Below are 15,933 nucleotides of genomic sequence, written 5' to 3' on the forward strand. Positions count from 1 at the left end.
AACAGTATTTCATCAATTCTTAGTTCCATTTCAAGAGAATAAACTATCCTTGTATTCTGTAAAATACAACCATGTTTTCTAAATTCATTCCATAAATTCTTTTTATTTTTTGCTTGATGTATCCAGAGTTAGTTTTCTTGAAACCAAGCGAAGCTTTTTTAAAACTTTAGATTCAGGGGGTAAACATACATGTTTGTTACATGGGTATATTGCATATTGGTGGAGACTGGGCTTCTAGTGTACCCACAATCCAAAGAGTGAACATTATACCCAACATGTAATTTTTCAACCCTCATCCTCCTCCCACCCTCCCCCCGGTGGACTCTTCAGTGTCTATTATTTCCATCTTTATGTACATGCATACCTATTATTTAGCTTCCACTTATAAGTGAGAACATGTGGTATTTGATTTTGTTTCTGAGTTATTTCACTTAGGATAATAACCTCCAACTCCATGTTGCTGAAAAGTACATGATTTCATTCTTTTCTATGCTGCATAGTACTCCATGGTATCTGTATACTACACTTTATTCAGTCAACTGCTGATGAACAGTTAGGTTGCTTCCATGACTTTGCTGTTATGAATAGTGTTGAACATGACTACAAGTGTCTTTTTTTTTTTTTTTTTTTTTTTTGGTGAGACACAGTCTCACTCTGTCCCCCAGGCTGGAATGCAGTGGCGCAATCTTGGCTCACTGCAACCTCTGCCTTGCAGGTTCAAGCGATTCTCCTGCCTCTGCCTCTCAATTAGCTGGGATTACAGGTGTGCACCACCTTGTCTGAGTGATTTTTCTATTTTTAGTAGAGACAAGGTTTCACGATGTTGGCCAGGCTGGTCTTGACTCCTGACCTCAGGTGATCCGCTGCCTTGGCCTCCCAAACTGCTGGAATTACAGGCATGACCCACCGCACCTGTCCAGGTGTCTTTTGTATATAGTGATTTATTTTATTTTGGGCAGATACCCCCAGTAGTGTGTTTACTGGATCAAAAGGTAGTTCTATTTTTAGTTCTTTGAGAAATCTCCATAGTTTTCCACAGAGGTTGAACATTCCCGTCAGCAGTGCGTAAGCACTGCCTTTTCTCCACAACCACACCAACATCTGTTATTTTTTGGCTTTTTAACAGCAATTCTGACTGGTATAAGATGGTATCTCATTGTGATTTTAATTTGCATTTCTCTGATGATTAGTAATGTTGAGTATTTTTTTCAAGTGTTTGTTGGCACTTGTATTTCTTCAAGAAATGTCTCATGTCCTCTGCCTAGTTTTTAAAAGAAGCTGTTTTTTCCCCGTTATTAGAGTTCCGTGTAGATTCTGATGTTCATCCTTTCTGAAAGTAATCATTTGCAAACATTTTCTCCCATTCTATAGGCTGTTTAATCTGTTGAGTATTTCTTTTGCTGTGAAGCTTTAGTTTAATTAAGTCTCATTTGTCTATTTTTGTCTTCCTCATAAATTCTTCGCCTAGGCCAACATCCAAGAGTTCTTCCTAAGTTTTCTTCTAGGACTTTTATAGTTTAAGGTCTTATGTTCAAGTCTTTAATCCATCCGTCCTGAGTTAATTTTCATACATGGTGAGACACAAGGGTCCAGTTTCCTTCTTTTGCATATGGCTAGCCAATATCCCAGCACCATCTATTGAATAGAGTGTTAATGTCCTTTCTCCACTGTTTATTTTCATCAACTTTGTCAAAGATCAGTTGGTTGTAGGTATGTGGCTTTATTTCTAGGCTCTCTATTCTGTTCCACTGATCTCTATGCATATTTTTGTACCACTATCATGCTGCTTTAGTTACTATAGCCTTGTAGTATAATTTGAAGTCAGGCAATCTGATGCCTCTGAATTTGTTCCTTTTGCTTAGGATCGCTCTGGCTGAGTGCTTTTTTGATTCCATATGCACTCCAGTGCTGTTTTTCTAATTCTGTGAAAACTGATGTTAGTAATTTGAAAGGAATTTCATTGAATCTGTAGATTGCTTTGAATAGTATGGTCATTTTTGTGATATTGATTCTTCCAATCCAACAGCACAAAATGTTTTGCCATTTGTTTGTGTCATCTGCAATTTCTTCCATTGGTGTTATATAGTTCTCCTCGTAAAGATCTTTCACCTCCTTGGTTAAATGTATTCCTAGGGGTGTGCGGGTGTGGGTGTGTGTGTGTGTCTACTGTAAATGGGATTGGGTTCTTGATTTGGTTATCAGCTTCAAAGTTATTTATAGAAATGCTACTGATCATTGTACATTGATTTTGTATCCTGAAACTTCAACGAAGTCTAGGAGTCTTTAGACTTTTCTAAGTATACAGTCATGTTATCAGGAAACTTCCTCTTTTCCAATTTGGATGCCTTTTATTTCTTTCTCTTGCCTAATTGCTCTGGCTAGGATTTCCAGTACTATGTTGAACAAGAGTGGTGAGAGTGGACATCCTTGTCTTGTTCCTGTTCTTAAGGAGAATGTTTTCAACTTCTCCCTTTCAACATGATGTTGTCTGTAGGTTTGTCATATATAGCTATTATTTTAAGGTACATACCTCCAGTGCCTAGTTTATTGAGGGTTGTTATGAAGCGATGTTGGATTTTATCAAATCACTTTTCTGCATCTATGGAGATAATCATACAGTTTTGGGGTTTGGTTCTATTTATGTGGTGAATCATGTTTATTGATTTGCATATGCTTAAACATTCTTGCATCCCTGGAATAAAACCCACTTGATCATGATTTATTATCTTTTTGATGTGCTGTCGGATTCAGCATTTGTTGAGGATTTTTGCACCTATGTTCATTAGGGATATTGGCCTGTGGTTTTCTTTTCTGGTTGTGTCCTTGCCTGACTTTGGTATCTGGTGTCCTCACCTGACTTTGATACTGGTGTCCTCACCTGACTTTGATACTGGTTTTGTAGAATGAGTTAGAAAGGAATTACTCCTCCTCAATTTTCTGAAATAGTTTCAGTATTCTTTCCTAAATACCAGCTTTTCTTTATATGTCTGGCAAAATTCAGCTACAAATCTATCTGGTCCTGGCCTTTTTTATTGTTAGAAGGTAATAAGGTTTGGCTGTGTCCCTACCCAAATCTCACCTCGTAGTTCCCCTAACTCCCATGTGTCATGGGAGGGTTCAGTGGCAGGTAATTGAATCATGGGGGCAGTTACCCTCATACTGTTCTCTTGATAGTAAGTTCTCACGAGATCTGATGGTTTTACAAGGGGCTTCCCTCCACTTTGCTCAGCACTTCTCCTTCCTGCCGCCATGTGAAGAACATGTCTGCTTCCCCTTCTGCCATGATTATAAGCTTCCTGAGGCTTCCCCAGCCCTGTGGAACTGTGAGTCAACTAAACCTCTTTCCTTTATAAATTACCCAGTCTCAGGTAGTTCTTTATATCAGCATGAGAACAGACTAATACAGAAGTTTTCCTTTATTACTGATTGAATTTTGTTACTTGTTATTGGTCTGTTCAGGATTCACATTTCTTCCTGGTTCAATCTTGCGAGGTTGTATCTTTCCAGGAATTTGTGCATTTCCCCCAGCTATTTCTAGTTTATGAGCACAGAAATGTTCACAGCAGTCTCTGATGATCTTTTGTATTTCTGTGGTGTCAGGTGTAATGCTGTCTTTATCATTTCTGCTTATATTTAAAACTTTTTTTTTTCTTGGTTAACTTAGCTAGCAGGCTGTCAATTTTGTGTATCCTTTCAAAGAACCAACTTTTTGTTTCACTTATCCTTTGTATCATTTTTTTATCTCATTTAGGTCTGCTCTGATCTTTGCTCTTTTCTTCTGCTAGCTTTTTGTGTGGTTTGTTATTTTTCTAGTTCCTTGATGTATGGTGGTAGCTTGAGATCTTCCTATCTTTTTAATGTGGGCATTTAACGCTATAAACTTTCCTCTTAGCACTGTCTTTGCTGTATCCCAGAGGTTTTAGTATGCTGTGTCTCCATTTTCATTTATTTCAAAATTGTTTTCAATTTCCGCCTTAATTGCATGTTTACCCAAAGTTCATTCAGGAGCATGTTGTTTAGTTTCCATCTACTTGAATAGTTTTAAGAGTCCCTCTTGGTATTTGATTTCTAATTTTATTCCACTGTGCTCCAAAAAGATACTTGATCTGATTTCAGTATTTTGGAATGTATTGAGACTTGCTTTAATGGCCAAGCATATGGTCAATTTTGGAGAATGTTCCACGTGCAGATGAGATTAATGTATGTTCTATAAATGTCTATTAGGTCCATCTGGTCTACAGTTTAGGTCCAGAATTTTTCGAATTTCTGCCTCAGTGATCTGAATAGTGATGTCAGTGAGGTGTTGATGTTCTCCACTATTATTGTATTGCTATCAATCTGTTTGCTTTGGCCTAGCAGTATTTATGAATCTGGGTGCTCTGGTGTGGAGTGCATATATATTTAGGATAGTTAAATCTTCTTGTTGTATCAAACCCTTTATCATTATATAATGCTCATCTTTTTTTTTTTTTACTGTTATTGGTTTGAAGTTTATCTGATACGAGAATGGATACTACTGCTGGCATTTGTTTTCCATTTGCATGATAAATCTTTTTTCACCTCTTTGAGTCTGTAACTGTCTTTAACCAGTGTGTGTGGGGGGGTCTCTTGCTGGCAGCAGATGGTTGGGTCTTTTTTTTTTTTTTTTAATTTGCCACTCTGTATGTTTTAAGCGGAGCATTTAGGCCATTTACATTCAAGGTTAATATTGATATGTGGCTGGGTGTGGTGGCTAATGCCCGTAATCCTAGCCCTTTAGAGGCCAAAGTGGGCGGATTACTTGAGGTCAGGAGCTCAAGACCAGCCTGGCCAACATGGCAAAACCTCATCTCTACTAAAAAATACAAAAGTTAGCCAGGTGTGGTGGTACACACCAGTAATCCCAGCTACTTGGGAAGCTGAGGCAGGAGAATTGCTTGGACCCAGGAGGCAGAGGTCGCAGTGAGCCAAGATCATGCCACTGCACTCCAACCTGAGCAAGACAGCAAGACTCCATCTTAAAATATATATATAGGACAGGCACAGTGGCTCACACCGTAATCCGAGCACTTTGGAAGGCCCAGGTGGGCGGATCACGAGGTCAGGAGTTTGAGACCTGCCTGGCCAATATGGTGAAATTCTGTCTCTACTAAAAATGTAAAATTAGCCAGGTGTGGTGGCACACACCTGTAGTCCCAGCCACTAGGGAGGCTGAGGCAGGAGCATCACTTGTACCCGGGAGGCAGAGGCTGCAGTGAGCCGAGATCGTGCCACTACACTCCAGCCTGGGTAATGGAGCAAGACTCTGTCTCAAAAAAAAATAGAGACAGAGATATAGATATGTGAGGTTTTGTTCCTGTCACAGTATTGTTAGCTGCCTTAGAGTTTCAACTATATAACTGCTTTATAGACTCGGTGAGCTTTTTATTTTTATGATGGTAAGTACTGTCCTTTCGTTAACATGCTTAGAACTCCTTTCAGTATTTCTTATACGATCAGTATAGTGATGATGAATTCCCTTCACACTTGTTTGTCTGGGAAAGACTTTATTTCTCCTTCATGTACAAAGCTTATTTTTTTGGCAGGATATAAAATTCTTGGCCGGTGGTTGTGCACGGTGGCTCACACCTGTAATCCCAGTATGTTGAGAGGCCAAGGCGGGTGGATCGCTTGAGCTCAGGAGTTTAAGACCAGTTTGAGCAACACAGCAAAACCTTGTCTCTACAAAAAACACAAGAAAATTAGCCGGGCATGGTGGCATGTGCTTGTAGTCCCAGCTACTTGGGAGGCTGAGCAAGAGGATCACCTGAGCCTAGGAGGTAAAGGCTGTGGTGAGCTGTGATCACGCCACTGTACTCCAGGTCTGGCCAGCAGACTGAGACCCTGTCCAAAAAACAAAATTAATTCTTGGCTGGTAATTTTTTCTTTAAGGCCGCTAAAAATAGGCCCCCAATCTCTTCCAGCTGACTTGCAGGGTTTCTGCTGAGAAGTTTGGTGTTAGTTTGATGGGATTTCCCTTATAGGTAATCCCTTCTCTCTTGCTACTCTTAGAATTTCTTCTTTTTCCTTCACACTGACTTTGAACAGTCTGATGACTATATGCTTAGATGAGGTTCTTCTTGCAATTTATCTTTCAGGAGTTCTCTGAGCTTGTTTCTGGATGTCTAAATCTCTTCCCAGACTAGGGAAGTTTTCCCTAATTACTTCCTGAAATAGCTTTTCTACACTTTTTACTTTTTCTTCTGTAGAATATCTATAACCTGTAAGTTTGGATGCTTTATACAATCCCATATTTCTCCAAGACTTTTTCACTTTTTTTTTCTTTTGAGATGGAGTTTCACTCTGTCACCCAGTCTGGAGTACAGTGGCACCATCTTGGCTCGCCACAACCTCCACCTCCTGGAATCAAGCGATTCTCCTGCCTCAGCCTCCAAAGCAGCTGCAATTACAGTCACACGCCACAATGCCCTGCTAATTTTTTTTTTGTATTTTTAGTAGAGATGGGGTTTTCACCATGTTGGCCAGGCTGGTCTCGAACTCCTGACCCTCAAGTGATCCACCCGCCTCCGCCTCCAAAAGTGTTGGGATTACAGGCATGAGGTACCACACCGGACTTCGTTCACTTATTTTACTTCTTTTTTTCTTTAAATTCATCTGACTGGGTTAATTCAAAAGACCTGTCTTCCAGCTCTGAAATTCTTTCTTCTCCTTTCTCTAGACTAGTATTAAAGCTTTCAACTATATTTTGTAATTCTTTCAATGAATTTTTCATTTCCAAAAGATGTTTGGGTTTATTTTTAGTGATATCTCCTTTCATATCCCAAACTGTTTTTCTGATGTGTGTGTGTTTTCAACTTTCTCTTGGATCTCATTGAGCTTCTTTAAAACCAACATTCTGAATTCTTTATCTTGTATTTCAAAGATTTTAATTTTGGTTAGGATCCATCGCTGAAGAGTTAGTGTGATCCTTCTGGAGCATTGTTAACACACTTTTTTCATAGTTTCAGAGTTGTTCCTCTGGTTGCTTCTCATCTAGATAAGCCGTCTCTCCTTATTTTTTGAATTTGCTTTCATTTGGATGTGATTTTTCTCCCCTTCAGAAGGTGTCTATAATATATGTTGCGTAGGGTCTTTTGGCTTTAGTTCTGGGTGCTTTCAGTGGCAAAGAGTCTGCATTAAGTTCCATGGTTGTAGACAGCCTTTGAATGGTAGTTTTCCCAAATGCTGGTTATATCAGTGATGTACTGGGCACGTGAGCAGGCTTACTGCATCTTGTGGGGCCAGGGTGGTGGAGGTCTCAGGAAGTTTATCTAGATCCCTAGTGCTGCACACTTGTGTCAGCAGATTTTCTACTGTGTCATGCAATTAAACTTCCAGGTCAGTTGGTGGCACTCACAGGTTAAGAGCCAGCTGAAGCCATTGTAGATGGGTATATATGTGATCCTTGTTTACAGAGAAGCTCTCTGTTGCCTCAAGCAATGGGGCTGATCTGCAGAATGCACAGGTGTCTGAGCTCCCTGCCCAGCCCTGGAGCAGGAGACCAAGACAGGTGGGTCCAGACCAGGCAGGCCCACCTACAGGTCTCCCAATAGCAGGGCACAAGCACCAGGTATGGGGGGCAGGGGAGAGCTGGGGTCCAATGGGCAACCACCAGTTACCCAGAGGTATGCCTAGGCATGGAGCTGGGAAATCTCCACTGCCCCAAGTTCTCTGTATGGCAAGTAGAGTACAGCCTAAACCCTAATCTAGAAAAGTGGGTGCTCCAAATGCCTAAAGATACATCTCTGCACTAAGTGCCACTGAACCATAAAGCTTGCCTATGATAAGCTTATTATATCAAATCATTTAATTTTTTTATTTTTCAGTAGTATTATTTTGCACTATATATGCACTGTTAGTAGGCATGTGTTTTATATTTAACTCTTAGTATATTCAGTGATGTTCTTTATTCCCTATTACCTCTGATATATGATTCCCCCTCATAAAAACTCAAAATTTCTCCATCTCCCTGAAATAAAAAAAAAAACCTCCTGTCTTTTGCTAACAAAAGAGCAAAATATTTTATCAATTTTAAACAAGATTTTTTTTTCAATTTTAGTATTCCAAAATTAAAGTGCTGGTTTTCTATTACCTTTTTCCACAGTCTCCTACACTGACATTTCTCTTTTTTACTTATTTTTTATAGTACCCTCAATTAAGAAGAATATTGTTTGGCAGACTTCATTTAAGAAAAAAGCCTGAAATTACAATAAATACTTATAGCCAAGAGGCAGTAGAGTTAAATGGTTAAAGCATGGGCACTGGATAAGGACCTATGTATGAATCCCAGCTCTATCCCTAATTACCTATATATCTTTGAGTTACTTAACTTTACCTCAGTTTCCTCACTTGTGAAGTAAGGATAATAATGGTACTGACCTCATAGAATTGTTGGGGGAACTTAATAAACTTAAAGTGCTTAAATAATGCCTGGTCTAATAGTAAGAAGAGAGAGATGTGAACCTGTATCTACATTATCTTAAGTCTATACACCACATCTGCTTTATCAATACCAGTATGCTTCCAGAAATGAGGCAGCAAGAAGGCTTGAAATAAATCTGCCTCCTTCTGGTAGTTCTAAACAGCAGGGTCATCAATTTCAAGAGGAGGGAAATGAGGAAACAGACGAACGGGAAATTCATCTGGGGCATTCAACTATTTCTATGTGTTCCCTGGCATACGCTAAGTAGACAAATTAGATCAATAATAAAAGGCATCTTTAAGGAAGAAGCGTTAACAAAAATGAGTGATAAAAAGGGATAAATACAGAAAAATGTGAGCAGAAGTGATCTCAGGTAGAAGGCATTAAATATCACCAGAAACTACTACAAGTACTACTGTGTCCCAAGCTGTATACATGTGAGAACCATAAAATAAACCCTCTAATAAATGTTAGGTAATTCAGAAATGCAGAAAGTGTTCCATTTCAACAAGCCCTAAGAAACAGCAAACCTATTTTGCTTTGACCGAACCAAATTAACGGAAGTCCTAGCTCAAGTAATCGGACAAGAGAAAAAAATAAAGGGCACACAAATTAGAAAGGAAGAGGTCCAAATTATCCTTGTTTACAGATGATATGATCTTATATTTGGAAAAACCTAAAGACTCCACTAAAAAACTACTAGAACGGACAGCTGCAGGAGACAAAAATCAACATACAAAAACCAGAGTTTCTATATGCCAAGAGTGAACAATCCGAAAAAGAAATCAAGAAAGTAATCTCATTTACAATAGGTACAAATAAAATAAAATACCTAGGAATTAACCAAAGAAGTGAAAGACCTCCACAATGAAAACCATCAATTATTTATGAAAGAAGCTGAAGAAGACACCAAGAAAAGGAAAGATAGTCCACGTTCATGGAGTAGAAGAACCAATATTGTTAAAATGTACATACTACACAAAGCAAACTAAAGATTCAATGCAATCCCTATCAAAATACCAATGACATTCTTCACAGACATAGAAAAAAAAATCCTAAAATTTATACGAAACCACCAAAGACTCAGAATACCCAAAGCTATCCTGAGCAAAAAGAACAAAACTGGGGGAACCACATTACCTGACTTCAAGTTATACTACAGAGCTATAGTAACCAAAACAGTACGGTACTGGCATAAAAACAGCCATACCAATGGAACAGGATAGAGAACCCAGAAACAAATATATTTATCTACAGTGAACTCATTTTTGTCAAAGGTTCCAAGAGCATACAATGGAAAGGACAGTCTCTTCAACAAGGTGCTGGGAAAACTGGATAACCACATGCAGAAGAATGACATTAGACCCCTATTCCTTGCCATATACAAAAATCAAACCAAAATGGATTAAAGCCTTAAATCTAAGACCTCAAACTAAACTACTAAAAGAAAACATTGGGGAAACTATCCAGGATGTTGGAGTGGGCAAAGATTACTTGAGTTACACCCCACAAGCACAGGCAACCAAAGCGAAAATAGACAAACGGGATCACATCAAGTTAAAAAGCTTCTGCACAGTAAAGGAAACAATCAACAAAGTTAAGAGACAAGCCACAAAATGGCTGAAAATATCTGCAAACTACCCATTCGACAAAGGATTAATAACCAGAATATATAAGGAGCTCAAATAACTGTATAGGAGAAAGTTTAATAAGCTGATTTTTAAAATGGGCAAAAGATCTAAATAGGCATTTCTCAAAAGACATACAAATGGCAAACAGGTGTATGAAAAAGTGCTCAATGTCACTGATCATCAGGGAAATGCAAATCAAAACTATAGTAACATGTCATCTCACCCCAGATAAAATGGCTTTTATCTAAAAGACAGGCAATAACAAATGCTGGAGAGGATGTGGGGAAAAGGGAACACTGGATTTTGTACACTGTTGGTGGGAATGTGTATTAGTACAACCACTATGGTGAACAGTTTGGAAGTTCCTCAAAAAAAACTAAAAGTAGAGCTACCATAAGATCCAACAATCCCACTGCTGGGTATATACCCAAAAGAAGGCAAATCAGTATATTAAAGAGATACCTGTACTCCCATATTGTTTGCAATACTGTTCACAATAGCCAAGATTTGGAAGCATCCTAAGTGTCCATCAACAGATGAACAGATAAAATGTGGTACATATATACACGAGATCCTGTCGTTTTCAACATGGATGGAACTGGGGGTCATTATGCTAAGTGAAATAAGCCAGGCACAAAAATATAAACTGCATGTCCTCACTTATTTGTGAGAGCTAAAAATGAAAACAACTCGGAGATAGAGAGTAGAAGGATCGTTGGTTACCAGAGGCTGGGAAGGGTAAGCGGGGTATCAGGGAGAGTGAGAATGGTTAACGGGTACAAAAAAATAAAAGGAGTGACTAAGACCTTGTGTTTGATTGCACAACAGGGTGACTACAGTCAGTAATAATTTAATTGTACATTTTTAAATAACTAAAAGAGTGTAATTGGATTCTTTGTAACACAAAAGATAAACACTTGAGGTGATGAATATACCCCACTTACGGATGTGATTATGCACTGCATGCCTGTATCAAAATATCTCATGTACCCCATAAATATACATTTTACCCACAAAAATTAAAAACTGAAACAAAAGGAAGTTACAAAAAATAGTCTATTGTTACAATATGTAAAAGAAGTATGTCATATGAGATACATACATATTCACTTGTCTACATAAAGCAAACGATCAAGGAAAGCCTTTGCTTTTTCAGTAAGCTGTTGCTCTTACTGCATCTGTACTTGGAAATAAAATACAGGTACATCTGAGGATTCAAATCCATCTTATCCAAACTCAGGAAACAAAAAGATTCTGCTAAACTTTTAAGATTGTACTGTTTAACAGAAATTACATCCATCACTCTCTGAACTTTTTTCTTTTTTTTTTTTTTTTTTTTTTTGGAGACAGTCTCACTCTGTCACCCAGGCTGGAGTGCAGTGGCACAATCTCAGCTCACTGCAACCTCCACCTCCCAGGTTCAGGCGATTCTCCTGCCTCAGCCTCCCGAGTAGCTGGGACTACAGGCGAGTGCCACCACACCTGGCTAATTTTTTATATTTTTAGTCGAGACGGGGTTTCACCACATTGGCCAGGCTGGTCTCGAACTCCTGACCTCGTGATCCGCCCACCTTGGCCTCCCAAAGTGCTGGGATTACAGGCATGAGCCACGGTGCCCGGTCCCACTCTCTGAACTCTCACTCTTGCTATCCAAAACTCAGGAATTGAACAGATGTGAATGGCCTGCTATCCCTCACTATCCAGACTCTTATCACCCAAACTCAGGATATAAATACAATAGATTCAGACTGCAAATACTTGTGAATCTTAACATAAATTTTTAATATAATTTCACAGTGTTTAAAAAACTTTTGAGGATTTTTTAAGTAATATGCAGTACTCTACTAAATCTCATAAATACTAGCTGTAAAACATCTTAGAAAATATCTTCTTGTACCCTATTTCTCAGCAGTCTGTTGGAACAAGGATGGCAGCTATTTAAGCTGTTGCCCCTCAGCTCCAAACTGCAGCACCCCTACCCGTATTCTGCTTTGTGGTGCTTGCACTAAGACTCTCTGTGAACCACATTCCTGCTTTGCCAGCTGGCTTCCTATAAAGCTCTCCCAAGAAGAGGCACTAAAGATGGACTGAAAGGTTGGAGGAAGAAGAAAAGACTATCTTCCTATCTAATCTTCAGGTTTCATAAGAGCCATTTCCCCAGCAAAGGCTTCTTCAGCCCTATAGCAGCAGGTCCTTCCAACAGCAACAAGTGAATCCAGCTTGCAGTGTTTCCAACACTTGCAGAACTAGCTTCATCATAAACCACTGAGAGACAGCAGCATCAGCCAGCAAGGTCTGGGTCCCAATCTCACAGAACCCCTCTGCCAAGCTCAGATACCATCATCAATCATGCAGCGGCTTCTCAGAGGTCTAAGTGTCATTTCTTTGGGGACTTTCCTCTAAGTTCCTAATGTTTTCTCATTCCCTTTGGTCCCTGAGCCCTATGGGCAGCAGCTGCCGCCTGTTATGTCTATCTTTGTGATACTTTAGTTTTGTTTTTATCCTTTATGTTACTTAGTTAACACATTTATATCTAGTTATCAATTCTATTAAAGTATTATCTCTGTTCAAATACTGGTATGGTTTCAGCCTCCCTAGAGAACCCTGAATGATAAAACAGTCTCATGTAGAATATGATGTTGTTACAGTGACTTTTGTTGAAATGCAATTCTACCTATACCAGCAAGTAAAGTAGACCAAAATGTCAGAGCAATTTGGTTAAAATTACAGAGTATACTTAACTATCACTACAAACTACTTTGCAGCCATTTTTTTAAGGAAAATTTAGAGGGTCTTTTTCTAATTCACATATAATATCTACTGGTATAAAAAAGGCAAGTTCTGTCTTTCCAAATTTTCTACAATATGTACTACTTTTTAATCATAAAAATACAGTAAGTCTAATTTTAACAACAATTCTAACAGAGTCAGGTTAAACAAGGATCCACTATCATCCACAGAAAACAATACTTGTTTACCTTACCCAAAATATTTAGAGAGACTGGGGGAGAGAGTTTTAATTCACTTACTAACTACCCTCTTCTAACCAACAAATTTTTTATACTTTCCTTCTATTCACTACCTTCACTTATACACAAATTGTCCACTCCCACTCATACCTGTGCCTACAAACTCCCACCTGCCTATCCATTTTCTGATTCCCAGCCATATGTCCAGTTCTTCTCCACCAACTCATTTGCTTCCTGTCTTGAGGTTAGCCACTTTCTAGATATACAGATAGTATATACAAGGTAGTATATACGAGAGAGAAGGCAAACAAGCAGTGTTTGTCAGTAGTTTTGAGTTACCTTAAGAGTTCTGGCTCTACTCCTATTGGGTAGTGTAGTGTGCAGGGGCCATTTCTGGTTTGGGGAAGACTCTATGGGAAAGTAGACTAAAATTTATTGTGGTTATTAAGTAATCCAGTTTTTCTTCCCTTCTTCGTCTCAAAACAATACTGGCTTCCACTAAGAAAAATCGGTGACAGACAATGGTCTTCTAAACATACATCTAAGAATGAGATTCCTCTGTTTCAGAGGTGGACCACACAGAATATTAGAGAAATGAAAGACATATATAAGGACACTAAATATCATGACTCCGAATGCCGTAGGGCTTCTCGGTTTATAAATTAAATGCTAGATACCATGATTAAATATCATGACTCAGATGTCACAGGGCTTCTCAGTTTATAAATTAAAGGCTAGATATATAGCTATATCCCAAAAAATTCTGATTCTAGAATATTGTGCAGAGGAATTACAACACAATGAGTAAATTATAACATAACTTACGTTACCTCTTCTCTTTCATCAAACAAAAGTTACACACATATTATTCCTAACCCAATGTCATATAAAGGCTTAACCCAAAGATAAACATAGTATTCACATATAGAGATTTAAAATTTCAGTCAATTACATTAATATATGAGTGTTTCAGCATTTCCCACAACTAAAATATCTTAAGGAAGTCTAATCGGTAGAAAGTGGACACTAAAGAAATAACAACAGTCGTTTTACAAAAAAAAAAAAAAAAATGCTTTTCTACTGAGAAATAGGATAGTCAGCCTTGACTTGTGAAAAGTCAAATATGTAAAAACTACAAACGTAACTTCATTGTTCATTTTGTGTGTGTGTGTGGCATTCTGGAAAATCAGGATTTCTCTCAAGCCTAAGGATTCCCTGACTTCCCAATCATGGCTCTGGCAATTTTGTATCTGTCCTCTCTCTCCTTCTGCCCTCCAAAGCTGGGCAATTGTAACACTTCATCATCTAGGCTGCTCCAACCACACTGACCTCCTCCACTCCTCCTCAAACATACAAGGCAGCCTCCTGCCTTGGACCTTCCTGCACTCCCTCTGTGCCTAAAGAATGCTCGACTACCACTTATCCAATATATGGCTCCCTCCATCATACTTTAAGATCTTCATTCAAATGTCCCCTTTTTCAGTGAAGCCTTCCCTTAGGACTGGCCTGTCTAAAATAACACATACTCCTATTATTTCCTATTCCCCTTCTCTATTTTTCTCCTTAGCCCTTTATCATATCACTAACAAATACTTATACTATTTTGTTTATTAATTGTCCCTCCACCAAAATATAAATTCCATGATTACAGGATTTTTACATGTTATGCTCATTGCTATGCCCCAACATTTAGAATAGTATCTGACAACAGTAGATGCTCAATATGCTAGATGAATAAATGATATGGCTGACTGCACAACCACATGTAACTAGTAGGTCCTGCCATCAACACTTCATATTCTAAGATTTCAATTAGCAGATTAGGTTTAGATTATTTTTCACTCTGGGAACCACGACAATCCCTCAGGGGCCAGTGTGAAGGTAGAACATGGAAGCTTAAACCAGCAAAAAGAAGTCATATGTTTATCTGCTTTACTAATTTGACTTCACATATGAATTGATTGGCAAAACTCATCTGGTGACTTCAAAAATCTGAAACCACTGTGTTGTACACAACACAACAGTTCCTACTTTTTACATTTCTCATGTTTTATTGTAAATGAGAGAAATCTAGATATTATGTTTTTACCATCCCTTAGAAAGAAATTAAAATCAGTATCTTCAGTCTTATTTAATAATCTGCTACAAAGGCAACCAAATTTACTATGTTCTAATTAAATTGAGTAGAAAGCAGGTTTAGGTTTTTTTTTTTTTTTTGAGATGGAGTTTTGCTCATCGCCCAGGATGGAGTGCAATGGCAGATCTCGGCTTACTGCAACCTCCACCTCCCAGGTTCAAGTGATTCTCCTATCTCAGCCTCCCGAGTAGCTGGGATTACAGGCACGTGCAAACATGCCCAGCTAATTTTTGTATTTTTAGTAGAGATGGGGTTTCACCATGTTGGCCAGAATGGTCTCAATTTCTTGACCTCGTGATCCGCCCGCCTTGGCCTCCCAAAGTGCTAGGATTACAGGCATGAGCCACCGCACCTGGGCTTTTTTCTTTTTTTTTTTTTTTAGGACAGAGTCTTGCTCTGTCCCCCAGGCTGGAGTGCAGTGGCACGATCTCAGCTGACTGCAACCTCCGCCTACCAGGTTCAAGCGATTCTCCTGCCTCAACCTCCTGAGCAACTGGGATTACAGGTGTGAGCCACCACACCTGGCTAATTATTTTGTATTTTTAATAGAGACAGGGTTTCGCCATGTTGGCCAGGCTGGTCTCAAACTCCTGACCTCAGGTGATCCACCCGCCTCGGCCTCCCAAAATGCTGGGAGTACAGATGTGAGCCACCGCGCCCAGCCCAGATTAGTCTTTTTAAAAGAAACACAAAAAAGTGTTAATTATGTTGTTTCATTTACAAATTACCACCACACTATACTCAGTTCACTAAATG

At 38.9% G+C, this 15,933-nt stretch overlaps 1 protein-coding gene across 12 annotated transcripts in view; it reads right to left on the reverse strand.

Moving 5' to 3' along the window:
- FOXJ3 (forkhead box J3) overlaps window positions 1–15,933 on the reverse strand; it is a 159,333-nt gene that overhangs the window by 118,361 nt on the left and 25,039 nt on the right. The gene's annotated exons all lie outside the window — the stretch shown is intronic.

The sequence above is a fragment of the Homo sapiens genome, chromosome 1 (genome assembly GCF_000001405.40).
Source record: "Homo sapiens chromosome 1, GRCh38.p14 Primary Assembly".
NCBI classification, from domain to species: Eukaryota; Metazoa; Chordata; class Mammalia; order Primates; family Hominidae; genus Homo; species Homo sapiens.